This window comes from Homo sapiens, chromosome 9, assembly GCF_000001405.40.
Source record: "Homo sapiens chromosome 9, GRCh38.p14 Primary Assembly".
Lineage (NCBI taxonomy): Eukaryota > Metazoa > Chordata > Mammalia > Primates > Hominidae > Homo > Homo sapiens.
Genome location: NC_000009.12, coordinates 129422282 through 129435977, shown reverse-complemented (window position 1 = coordinate 129435977; position 13696 = coordinate 129422282). Strand labels below are relative to the sequence as shown.

The window sequence follows — 13696 nt, the reverse complement described above, 5'->3', positions numbered from 1 at the left end:
CGCCAGCTCTGCAAACACGGGGTACCCCCACCATCACTTCCCCTCCATATGCACCCTGAAACCTGCACCTGCCCAGAGGTAGCCGCCTGCAGGAGACAGGCAGGGCAGGCTGGAGTTTGCAGAAAGTCACAGGGATAACGATGACGCTGGTTCTGTTTGCCTGGCTCGGTTCTGCTCTGGACATGCAGGCCTCGAGGAGTCCTCACTGTGACCACACCCACTTTACAGGTGAGAAAAAAGTGAGGCTCAGAGAGGGAAAGTGACTGGCCCAAGATCTCCTAGCTGGGAAGAGATGGAGTGAGGATTCAATCCCCCTGCCGTTTACCCCATTCTGTCTCCAAAAGGCTGAGCTGTGGCAGGAGCCCCATTTGTTCTTTATGTGAAAATGATGAGGCTGGACTGTATGTAAGTGCTGATATGTAACTGCTTTGGCCTGTCAGAATGCCAGTGTTGTGCAGCCCAACCCAGGAGCAGCACTCTCTGCACAGCGGTTCAGTTCAGCTGTTTCAGTTCCGAGGCTGACTCCGACGGCGGGGTTGCCAGATTGAACAAATAAAAATACAGGACACCCAGGCCAGGCGCAGTGGCTCACACCTGCAATCCCAGCACTCTGGGAGGCCGAGGCGGGCGGATCACGAAGTTAAGAGATCAAGCCCATCCTGGCTGACACGGTGAAACCTCATCTCTACTAAAAATAGAAAAATTAGCTGGGCGTGGTGGCACGCACCTGTAATCCCAGCCACTCGGGATGCTGAGGCAGGAGAATCACTTGAACCCGGGAGGCAGAGGTTACAATGAGCTGAGATGGCGCCACTGCACTCCAGCCTGGGTGACAGCGGGAGACTCCATCTCCAAAAAAAAAAAAAAAACCAAAACCAAAACAAAACAAAACAAAAAAACAGGACACCCAGTTAAATGTGCATTTCTAATAAACAACCAGTGACATTTTAGTTGAAGTACGATATGTCCCATGCAAATACTTACAGCACAAACTCATTCATGGTGTATCTGAAACTCACATTTAATTGGGTGTCCTCTATTTTATCCGGCAACTCTATCTGGGGGTCTTCCTTTGAAGACAGACTTCGAAACCGGGTGCTTTTGGATCCAGAAACCCAACGACAGGTGGGAAGCAACACTGTTATCACTGAAATCAGGCCTAGTCCAGAGAGATGAAGGAGCCCAGGCTTGGGGGCTGAACCAGGCTCCCCCTATTCCTGCTTAAGTAACTGAGCACTGAAGACCACAGTAAGTCATGGGAGCCCGTGATTCCACACACAGACTTGAGGGTGGGATGAAATGAATCAGCCCATGATGGACAGCTGGGAGATGCTGGGGTGGGTGGGAGATGCCACGGACTCTGAAGGTTGCCACCATTAGAACACAGCTGAGACTTTCCAGTAAACTGTGCAGTCTCTCAAACATGCATTCCAGCCCCCTTCCCACTGGCCTTCTTCTATCATAGAATGCAGAAAATTAAAATACTCAATTTCCCAGCTTCCTTTGCAGCTGGTGGTGAGCATGGGACCCAGCTCTGGCCAATGAGATGAAGGCAGATGATCCCGAGGATAGTTTCCCTTCCTGAATTAAAAGGCAAAGATTCCAAGAAAAATATACTTGCCTGGAATGTGGACGTGATGGCTGGAGGTGGAGCAGGCATCTTATGACTATGAGGACAAAAGCCAGACACCAAGGTGGCAAGGAGGAAGCCAAGGATACCTGGATCTTTGGGAACTCTTGTATCAAGGCTGCCACAACCCCAGACCACCTCCCTCAACACATTCCACACACAGAAAGAAACTTTTCATTTGTTTAAACCATGCTTGGTGGAGTTTTCTGTTGTCTGTAGACTAATGCAAATTCTGGCAGATTCATCCATCTTGGGGCCTGAGGGAGGATCCCAGACCCTACAGACCACAGTTTGGACATGGGTGAAAATCCATTGTTTTGCATAAAGTGTTTGCCAGGCACTGATGGCTACAGTGACCCTGGGACAGATGATCCCAAGTGCTCCATTAGGACTCAGTGCCTGGTGCTTGGCTGTGGCAAAGCTTTCTCAGGCCTCCAGCATGCGACACGGTGTGTGGTGGTCACCAGATGTGCTTTTTGGGGGAGGATTTTCCTTTATTCTAAGATTATGTCCTTCATACTTTTTGGGCTTTAAAATGAAATTTATTTCATGAAATGATGGGATAGTTGATGATGAGAATTTTTTTTTTTCCTTTTTTGAGACAGGGTCTTGTTCTGTTGACCAGGCTACAGTGCACTGGTGTGATCACTGCTCACTGCAGCCTCGACTTCCTGGGCTCAAGCGATCCTCCCACTTCAGCCTCCTGAGTAGCTGGGACTATTGACGTGTGCCAGCATGCCCAAATAATTTTATTTTTTGTAGAAATGGGTCTCACTATGTTACCCTGGTGGATCTCAAACTCCTGGGCTCAAGTGATCCCCCTCATTCTGTCACCCAGGCTGGAGTGCAGTGGCCCAATCTCGGCTCACTGCAACCTCTGCCTCTAGGATTCAGGCGATTCTCCTGCCTCAGCCTCCCGAGTAGCTGGGATTACAGGCACCCGCTACCACACCCGGCTAATTTTTATATTTTTAGTAGAGACAGGGTTTCACCAGGTTGGCCAGGCTGGTCTCGAACTCCTGACCTCAAATGATCCGTTCGGATGGTGAGATTTTTAATGTGTGTGGTTTTCATTTTGTTTTTGTAATAAAAACTTGGCATGGTTGTTATCAGTCCCCCAATTTTCTCTGGGAGTTGCAAAGGTCCCTGGGAGTATGCCCAAGAATCCTTCAGGTCTCATGCACCCAGGCCCAGCTGGTAGCCCAGAAAATAGGGAGGAGAGGCAGCCCCTGCCAGGAGCCAGCATCAACGGCAGTGGGGGTGGATGGCCCAGGGGCAGGCGAGCATGGTTCCAGATGCCTGCACTTTGGGTCCCAAGGGCCTGGCACTGGGAGAATGTTCCCAGGCTCTCTGTGCCTCCTGCTGTCCCTGCCCCACCTGCTAAGGTGTCCCCAGAGGAGCTGGAACAGTGTGTTACAGCTCCCCAGGCGGTATGGCCCCTGAGCACGCTGTGTTCTGGAGGCCAGCGAGGGTGTGCCAGGCTCTGTCCAGTGGACCGTGGGTGCACACCTGCTCCAAGGCCCAGTGGCTTGGCAGGTCCCTGCCAGGAACAGCAACGCTCAGCTCAGCTGGACAGTCAGCCCAACAAGCTCAGAGATGGCCAGGGACAACAGGAACTCATAGGAAAGTCCAGGCCATCCCAGGGGCCTTGCAACAGGCCCCGAAGACCCAGCGATGGGGAGGAGGAAGCTGGAGAGAGGAATGGTAGAAGCAGTACTTGGGAAACTGCTCAACTGGGGAGATGAAAGGTGAACACTGTGCTACACTCACAGCATTTTAAACCTTGCAGCTCCCAGCAACTCTGCCCTAATGAGAAGCAGGAAGAGCCGCGGCAGGCCAGGAAGGGAGTTGCTTGGAGGCGAGGAGGATGGGAGGGCAGAGAGCTTAACGAAGTCTCTGTGCCCTGCCACCCTGGGAGCCATCCTGCCCCCACAGAGACCCCCACAGAGGGTTTCCAAGCAGGGGAGAGCAACCAGAGTCCCCAGGCTGCATTTTGGGCTCTGGTGATACAGACTGGAATGCAGCTGAGGGTTAGAGCCGTGAGCGGGAAATGCGGGGTACAACTGTGGGGTGCGCCCACTGCACCGTGCATCATGCCGAAAAGGTCCTGTAGCGGTTATAGCGGGACCCAGTACCCCTGCCTCACCCCATGCCCAGATATCAAGAACATACAGATATCAAGATCATACAGCTGGGGAACAGCAGAGGGGCTCCTGGATGCTCTTCTTCAGGGTGAGGCCGGCTTCATCCACTTCAGGGATGTCTAGGGCTGGATGTCATAGCCACCTCATTAAATGTGTCTGCTTTTTCCAGCCTCATCCTCATCCCTAGCCCCAGCTCCAGGCCCAGCCTGCTTTTAACAAGACAGTGAAGAGTGGCAGTTAAAGGTCTGGCTGGCATCAGACAGTGCTGAATTCAAACACCAGCTGAGCTGAAAACGGCCTGACTGGGTGACCTTGAGCAAGCAGCCTGCCCTCTCTGAGGCTCAGTTTATTTTCTGGAAGGGAGAAGACGGTGTCTACTTCCAATGACCGCCATGATGTTTCAGGTTCAGCCCGAAGGGTGAGCAGCCAATAAAGAGTGCCGAGAACGGCCTCTGGCCTGCCAGGTAGAGAAATGACCTGATTCCTTCCAGAAGTTTCCAGTGTTCCCAAGCTGATGAGGCTCCTGGGAGATGCCTCCAGATCTCTTAACGTTCAGGGAAGCATGGGCTCTGGTTGCATTAGGGAGGATTTATTTTATTTTTAAAGGAGTTGAGGCCACTTTGCAATCAGAGCCTTCGTGGCTGGAGCTGGGCGAGCTGAGGAAGGAGTATTAATCAAGGCGCTTTAAGGACATGCAAATCAGGAGAAAGCTCAAGTGATTAGGGTGTGATGGGGCCTGGAGTCCAGCCTATATCCCCATCTGAGAAGAGAGAGCCAGAGTGCCAGGCAAGGTGGCTCAGGCCCAGCTGGGGGCGGCAGCCAAGGGGCTGCCATGGGGCCAGGAACTGTGGGTTGGGAGCAATTGGAGGCAGAGGGAAGGGAGCCACTCCAAGGTGGCTGAAGGGTCCCTGATGCCTGCGCTGTCCACATGGTACTCTGGCTGGCTTCCCCGCCTCCCCCACAGCTGCAGAGGGGCTGCTCTGGCATGATCCCCTGCCTGGCTGGGACAGGCCCCTCTTCCTAAGGATACAGAATGGTTATTTGGGTGAGAGGGGCCCACCGGCGCTGCTGGGGGCGGGATGGCGAATGTGACGTCAGCGATCTGCGGTATCTTCAGGGTGACAGCCGTACCCCCCGCGTGGGACCCAGGGCTCCACATCTATAGACCTGACCCAAGGAAAGACTCAGGCCTGTGCACAAGGATGCCATCTCGGGGACTGCGTATTCATAAGAAGCTGAATCAAACAGTGTCCAACAAGGGGGGTTGTTCGAGCTGGTTATGGGACGTGTTTACCACGGACGTTCAGGTCCTCCTGAGAAATGACGACCTAGACATGGGAAGATGGTTGCAATGTATTGTTCCGCAAAGGAGAAAAAAAGCAGGTTGCAAAACCCTGGGAACTGTCTGCCCACCTTCAAAAAGTCGGTCATATATCTAGAAAAATCTGGAAGGGTAGCCACAAAAACATCATCAGTAGGTACTTTGGAGAGGTTATTGTTACTTTCCCCTTTTATGTTAATTTTTGTGCAATAAACATATATGTATTTGTAATCAATAAAGCCATCTTCTTTTCTCTTTTTAAGAAAGCTGCTATCTGGCTGTGCGCGGTGGCTCATGCCTGTAATCCCAGCACTTATGGGAGGCCGAGGCGGGCGGATCATGAGGTCAGAAGATCGAGAGCATCCTGGCTAACACGGTGAAACTCCATCTCTACTAAAAATACAAAAAAATTAGCCGGGCATAGTGGTGGGCCCCTGTGGTCCCAGCTGCTCGGGAGATTGAGGCAGGAGAATGGCGTGAATCTGGGAGGCGGAGCTTGCGGTGAGCCGAGATCGCGCCACTGCACTCCTACCTGGGTGACAGAGCGAGACTCCTTCTCAAAAAAAGAAAGAAAGCTGTTCTCTTGCTTGGCCTCATACCTCCCCCAATCTCCTTAATACTAAATAAAAGATCCCAGTGGACCCTGAGAGGGACACCCCCGCAGCCCTCTCAGGAGTCCCCTTGCTAGCACAAAGCAGGTCTCCACCACCCAAGAGGCAGGCAGACCAGGTATGGGGGTCATTGACAGACCCTCACCCTGCCCCATGCATTTTTTGGATGATACAGAAAAAAAAAAAAAAACAGGTACGCAGTGATCATTCCATACAAGATATTGGTATAGGTCCTATGTGGGTCCAGATTTCTTCTCCTAAGCCTCTGAGCCAGAGGCATTAGGGACTCAGTGTGTTCCGTGTAGAGGTGTAAAACGATACCTATAGCATAGATTAGGTAACACCTTAAGCAGGGCTGGGGCAGTCCCCATAATCAAACATGTTAATAGCTCTGCAGTGAAATGTACAAATGTTCACATCAAGGGGAATAAATAAAACTATAAATAGCTTCCTGTCAGCTGAGGTCAGGTTTTGCCTCCAGATGAATTTACCACCATCTTAACAAAAGGACTTCGGTTTTTCAGACTTTTTGTTAATTGCAGAATTCCAGTTAGGGGATGGGGACCAGACGAGGATCGGGGCTCTCAGGCGCGTTGGTTTGGCTGTCTCCCTGCAGGGTCTCCCCGGCAGCGGGGCTGGCTCTGTGGTAGAGCCACTTCCACAGTCACCCAGGGCCCCGTACATGGCTGACTGTTCTGTCGTCACCATCTTGAAATTCTCAATAATTGTAATTTTACCGCCCCGAATTTTCCTTTTACACAGGGCCCGGCAAATCGCGTAGCCAGTCCTGCCAGCATCCAGAGCAAAGCCCAGCACAAGGCAATTGCTGAATGGATGGATGGATGGATGAATGAATGAATGAATGAATGAATGAAAGAAAGAAATGTCATCCCATTCCCTCTCCACTCAGCCCCTTCCTGATTTTCCACTATCCATCAGTGGAGACTCAACAGGGTTCCTGAGTGGCCTGCTCACCTGGAGAGAATGTGATTCCCGCACAGGTCCCTGGGGCACTCAGACCCAAAAGCAGAATTCCAGAGGGGTCCCTGGGTTTCTAACTCACACTTCGAGTGATTTGGACACAGCTGGCATTGAAAAGCAGTTGTGGTTGTTTCAGAGGCCAGCTTGCTCTCCCTTCTTTTCTAGCTGTGTGACCTTAGGCAGGTTGCCAAACTTCTCTGAACTTCCCCAAATGGGCAAGGGGTCAACACTCACTCACCCTTAAACCCTAGCAGGCCATTTAGGAATGAGCCCCTTCCTGCCAGTCATAGAGGAGCGCCCTGCAAAGGTGGGCCCTGAATCTGTCCTGGTCCCTGTGCATGCCCAGCACCCAGCCTGGGGCCAGGAATGTGGAGGGCTCAGGAGCCACCTCCTGCATGGGTGGAAGGGGAAGGAGGGTGGTTCCCCCACCTCACAGGGCTTTGTGAGGACGGGGGAGGGTGGGCAGAGGGCTCTTCAGCATAGCTGGGCAAGCAGTAGGTCCCACATAAACGGAGCTGTCGTTGTTGGTGTCACACCATCTCCCTGGGGCTGTGGCCTCAGCTGCTGCACCTTCCCCAGGGGTGGGCGGCAGGTGAGCCCTGCCAGGGGCTAGAGGCCAATGGGGTGGAGGAGGAGGTGGCAGAAGGGGATGAAGGCAGGGGCCTGGTGGACGGAGTCCAGACACGTCCTGATACCAATTAAGGCAGCTCTGGCGCAGGGGGCCTTGGACGGCATTTATCAGCCCGCCGGGGAGGGGCCGGCAAGCTGTCCTCCGGCTGATGGATTAGACAGCGGACAATTAGGTTTCAGGCGGGCGCTCTCCCTCTCTCTCTCCTCTCTCTCTCTCTCTCTCTCTCTCACACACACACACCCCACACCACACACACCACACACACACACACACACACACACACACACACACACGCCCCTTTCTCCATCAGTCTGCAAGGCCCAGCGGCAGAGCCCAGCTGGGTCTCTGCTGAGCCCCCAGTGGTAGGAACAAAATAGACATAGAGCCCCTCACTGAGGGGGAGGGTCCTCAAAGAGAAGAAGGGAGCCCCAGGGACTTCCCCACCCAAAGCTATGCCTGTGGGGATCACAGCTCAGGACCCCACAGTCTCAACCCCAAGCATCACTTCCAACAGGACCAGGAGTGGGGGCGTTCCCGAGAAGCCAACATGCAGGAGACAACAGCGACGGTGATTTCCAAAGCTGAGGACATGGAGCTGAGCCAACCAGGGGTCCATTCCTCCCCTGAGAAATAGACTCTCCCCTTCGCAATCGGAGCCTGTGATCCACGGATCACAACGGGAGCAATGTGTGAGGCAAGGGCAGCGACGTTGAGGGGCTTCTCAAAGCTGCAGGAAAAGTCCTCAAGATTCTAGAATGTTCGGCATTGCAGATGCTCCGGGATGAGTCAAGAATACTAAGAGGGAAGGATGTCCCGAGCCCTGCTTTGGGAAATGCAGAATCAGATGAGGCCTTCAGGCAGCTGGTACCCATGGCTGTAGGTCGTGTCTCCGTTCTGCCCCAAAGGCAGGCTCAACCTCTCCGAGGGTTCTCAGATGCTGTGGCCACCGGTGGCTGCAGGGCCTTCCTGCTAAGACCATCCCAGGCGCCGGACACTGGGCAGGCTGAAAGCTGAGCTCCTCAACCTCCCCACACAGGCAAATGGCACCATTGTCACCCCAAGGTCCTGTCTAGAAAGCAAATTTCGACTTCATCTCTTCCTCTTCCTCACCTTTCACAGCCTTCACCATCGTCATCAACTCCTGTCCCTTGACCTCTAAGACAGCTTTCAAACCCGCTCTTCTCCAGATCCCCATGACCGCCACCCCCCCCAGCCTGACCCCAGCCACCATGTCTTGTTCAGATGCTCCCTCAGCTCCCAGCCTTTCCTCCTACTCCAGTTCCCCATGCAGCAGTAGAGGTGTCATCTAACCCCCCCGCCGCCCGCCAGTCTCACCACGCCCCTGCTTCAGAGCCCTCCGTGGCTCCCACTCCCACCCACCTGAGGAGAAAGTCCCAGCATCTGACTGCAGCTTCCAGCTCTGTCTCCCCACCTACGCTGGGGTCATTGGCTTCATCCATTCTTCACACTCAGCAATGATCTTGTTTGTTTATTTGGTTACTTAGTTGATGTTAGCTCCCCTCCATCTCCCACCAGAACATCATTTGAAAGGACAGATCTCTTTTTTTTTTTGAGACAGGGTCTCATTCTGTTGCCCAGGCTAGAGTGCAGTGGTGTGATCATGGCTCACCGCAACCTCTACCTCCTGGACTCAAGTGATCCTCCCACCTCAGCCTCCTTAGTAGCTGGGATTACAGGTATGTGACACCATGCCTGGCTCATTTTTAAAAAATTTTGCAGGGAGGCCAAGGTGGGCAGATCACCTGAGGTCAGGAGTTTTAGACCAGCCCGACCAATATGGCAAAACTCCGTCTCTACTAAAAATACAAAAAAATTAGCCAGGTTTGGTTGTGCACACTCTTAATTCCATCTACTTGGACGGCTGAGGCAGGAGAATCACATGAACCCAGGAGACAGAGGTTGCAGTGAACCGAGATCATGCCACTGCACTCCAGCCTCAGCGACAGAGCGAGACTCTGCCTCAAAAAAATTTTTTCTTTTTTTTGAGATGAGGTCTCACCATGTCGCCCAGGCTGGTCTTGAACTCCTGGGCTCAAGTGATCCTCCCACCTCCGCCTCCCAAAGTGCTGGGATTATAGGCATGAGCCGCCGAGCCTGGCCCTGGCAGATCTCTTTTGCTCACCCTTGTCAGCGTCTATCACCTTGCTGGAACTCTCTGCACCTGTGGAGTGAGCAAGGACATGGGTCCCACCCTTCAGGCTTGTCCCTCGATGCAGTTCTCTCAGGGTCCCCACGAGGACCACATCCCACGGCCGGCTCTTTCCTGAAGACCACACTCGTCTCACCCTCCGTCCCAAAGTCCGTGACGTACCCAGGCTCATCACACTACCCTTCAGCCACCAGCTCCTGTTCCCACCTCCAACCTCAGCAGAGAGGCCACTCTGTCCCGCATGCACCAGCTGGACCCATCCACCCTGCACAGCCGCTCAGGCAGGGTGGCCAGCTCACTCACTGGGCTCTCCCACCCAACAGAGGCTTCTTGGGGCTACCTCCTTCACTCTGCCTGGCACACAGTAGGTGCTCAATAAATATCTGTCTAACAAAGCTACTGGGCCCAGAACCCTGGCTCTAACCCCAGCACAGGTTCTGCCTTCCTCTGGCCTGGGCTCCCAGCTGCCTGGGTTCCCAGGGGCCAGGGGCCAGTGTGGATATGATCAGGTACCAAGCTGAGTGAAACAGACAGAAGGTGCTCTGGGGACACCTGTAACTGGGGACTTTGCATGGAAAGGGGGCAAAGTCTTCTGGGATGAGCTGGGCTTTGATGGGCAAGAGGACAGGCTAGGGAGAAAAAGCAGAAAATCTATTTTATTTTATTTTTTTTAGAGATAGGGTCTCTGTATGTTGCCCAAGCTGGTCTCCAACTCCAGGCCTCAAGGGATCCTCCTGCCTCAGCCTTCTGAGTAGCCTGGATTACAGGTGTGGGTCACCATATCTGGCTCTAAAGAGCAGAGACTCTTATGTTCATTAATGAACAGTTGCATGCCGGCCACTGCGTCTGGCACTTTATACAGGTTCACGTGTTCAATTCCTGTGACAGTCTTTTGAATAAAGTTTTACCTCCACTTTCCAGAAGAAGGGCGGCTACAGAGACATGAAGCCACTTATCCCGGATCCCACAGCTGCCTGCAGCAGATCCCAGGCATGGCCGGTCCCAGGGTCCTTGTCCTTTCGCTATCTACCATGCCACCATCTATGTGCCAGCTCCTACGCAGGCAGCATCCACCTCACTGGTGTCTGGGCAGAGGGAACCCCTGTGAGCAAAGGCCCAGGGGCTGGATGGAGCCTGCTGAGTGGGAGGCAGAACACACCTAAGAAGGCTGAGAATTAAATCCCCAAAAGTCAGCAGCAAAAGCCTGCGGGGAAGTGGGCTGGTCCCTTGCCCTCTCTGTGCCTCAGTTTCCTCATCTGTAAAATGAGGACATAATAGTACTTACTTCATAAAGAGGATAAATATCTTAAAGCACTTAGAATGGTGCCTGGCACAGATAAAGCATTGTAGAAACAGTTTCAAATAAATAAACGTGGTAGGAACATGGTGGGCCTGAGTCCAGGCAGAGGGCCGAGGAGCTCTCCTGCTGTCGCTGGACCAGGAGGCTTGGCAGGCCGTTGGCCAGCTGGAGGTGGGCAGCCATGCTTTCTTCCCCCGGTCAGTGGCTGAGGCAGGTCTTTGGAGAATTCTGGACAGGCTCCATGAGGCCCCCAGGCCTGAGGACCACAGGCAGCCCACTCTCCCCTGGTTACCGGAGGCTGGAGCTGCAGAGAGGTCCCTGGGCCTCACTCCCTTTAGGGTCCAGGGTGGGAGAGGAGTAAGCGCCCTTCTTCTCTTCACTTGAATGAGCCCTGTGTGCACCCAGGCTCCTGGGTCAGACCCTTAGGAAATGAGTGGGGGTGAGGAAGGTCCCCTGAGGGCTATAGGTTGTTGGCGTCGGGGGGTAATTTCCCCATCAGGACCCGCCCCAATAAAGGTCCGTAAAATCATAAAGACACTCCAAGGTTGGGGGTGGCGGGAGATCTTGACTAGAGTCACAAGGCTGTGTGTTTTTGTTGTGTTTTGTTTTGAGCCTGGGTTTCACTCTGTCACCCAGGCTGGAGTGCAGTGGTGCAATCTCGGCTCACTGCAACCTCTGCCTCCCGGGCTCAAGCGATCCTCCCATCTCAGCCTCCCGAGCAGCCCCTGTTGCTTTTCTTAGACCTGGCAGAATCACCAAGGTCCCCTAAGCACGTGTGCTGTGATGAGTGATGCCATTTTACCAATGGGGAAACTGAGGCCCAGAGAGATGCTGTGTTTTGCTGGAGCCTCACAGATAACCCTACTCATCCTTCAGGTCGGCCTTAAACATAGTGGTCTCAGGGGAGGCTGCCCTGAGTCTCGGGTGGAGCCCAGGGCCCTGTTCCACTCTCGCACACATCCTGTACTTCTCCTTCAGGGTCTGAGGGCAATGACAATGAACCAGCTCAATGTTTCACTGTCTTCACTGTCTGCCTCTCTGCCTGGACTGTGAGTCTTCCAAGGGCTGGCAGTGTGTCTGTGCACTCATAATCGAACCCCAGAGCCCAGGCAGGCCTGGCCCGTGGTGGGTAGGTGCCCATTGTTTGTTTGTTGAATGAGTGAGTGAGTGAATGAACGAATGATGGAGTCAGAATGAAAACATACAGCCTGCCAGGCACAGTGGCTCACTCCTGTAATCCAGGCACTTTAGGAGGCTGAGGTGGGCAGATCGCTTGAGCCCAGGAGTTCGAGACCAGCCTGGGTAACGTAGTAAGACCCCATCTCTACAAAAAATACTAAAAAATTAGCCGGGCATGGTGGCTCACGCCTGTAGTCTCAGCTACTCAGGAGGCTGAGGCAGGAGAATCACTTGAACCTGGGAGGCAGAGGTTGCAGTGAGCCGAGATCACACCACTGCACCCTAGCCTGGGCAACAGAGCAAGACTCCATCTCAAGAAAAAAGAAAAAAAAAGAAAAGAAAAGGAAAAAGAGAAGAGAAAAGAAAAGAATAAAGAAAAGAGGCCTTTAGGAAATCCTGCACAGGTACTGATTTGCTCTGTTAATTCCTCCAATGGGAAAGGCGTGTTGCTAGAGGGAGGAGGCACAGTCATGACACAGGGATCAGGGATTTGACCCCAACAGGCCAAGGTCAAAGGCAGAGATCAGGAAGTCAGATCCCACGGAGGCCTGTGGCCGTGTCCCCCGGCCCTCTGCAGGTCCCCTGACTCAGAGCCCTCTTCTCCCACTGCCCCCTGATGTTTCTCCAGTCCCTTCCCCTCTGTCTCATCACTCTGTCCACCTCATCTGTGGTGCCTGAAAATCCCCTCTTGAGCTGTGGGTGTCATTCTTGTCTGATCACCGCCTCCCCCACCACACACACCGCCAGCCCCAAATACAGAGCCTCCACAAAGCCCCTTATTAAGAAATTGGTCAATTTCCTGCTAATTAAAATAAATACTATGCCACATTAAAGGCCAATTAATTTTCAGAGCTGCTAGGAAAACATCGCCTGGAAAATGTACACCCCCCGCCCCACCCCCTCCTCGGCAAAGGGCAGCCACGTGGCACCCAGCAGCAGCCGGGAGGGCCCGGTGGGTCCCGAGCTTCTAGCAAGGTCGGGAGGAAGGGATGACCAGCTGTGGACAGGGCTGCAGGCGGGCGGAGCTTCCTGTTCCTGCGGGGACTCCACTCACTCAGCCCAGGAGCTCTGAGAACCCATCCCTCCCCAGGAAACCCAGGCCCTGAGAACAGGTCTGCCTAGCTTACCTCACAACCACAGGCAAGCACTTTCTCCGGAACTGGGTCCTTAGTTGGTGAGGAAGATGGACTTCTGTAAGGCCTGCGCTCACCAGGCTCTGCACCCCGAAGTTATCTCACTGAGGGGCACAGCAGCCTGCAAAGGGAGGTGCCATTGCTCCCATTTTGCAGTTGGGCAAGATGAGGCCCAGAGACACCAAGCCCCTCTCTTGAATCACAGCTTCTGGGGGCAGAGCAGGATGTACGCCTGGTCCTGCCTGACTATACCCAGAGAAACCTGCAGCAGGCCCTTCTCCATCACACATTGTCCTCCCACAGCAGCACAAAGGTCGGGGGAACTGCTATGTCTGCATAAAAGCAAACGTCATCAGTTGGATTTGTTCAAGGTGAGGCTTACCTGCTTCCTAACCATATCAAAAGCTCCTGTTGATTGAGAGTCAGGGATGTGCCAGGAGTCCTGCCAGGACCTGACCAGTTGTCATCTCACCGAATCCTCACCAGCACCATGCGGCTCAGCGAGGTTAGGTAACATACCCAAGGTCACACCACCTGGCCACAAATTAGTCATAGCAATCGCCTGTCTTCAAGGTCCAAGTTTTGCTATTTCTTCA

The 13696-nt window shown here is 53.5% G+C and overlaps 1 annotated feature.

Annotated features, from left to right (window-relative positions):
- Nucleotides 12963–13493: an enhancer, noted in NCBI's record as "H3K4me1 hESC enhancer chr9:132184764-132185294 (GRCh37/hg19 assembly coordinates)". NCBI's record gives its function as "activates a minimal SCP1, AML or CMV promoter by ChIP-STARR-seq in primed H9 embryonic stem cells {active_cell/tissue: H9 hESC(primed)}" and the evidence as "EXISTENCE:reporter gene assay evidence [ECO:0000049][PMID:30033119]".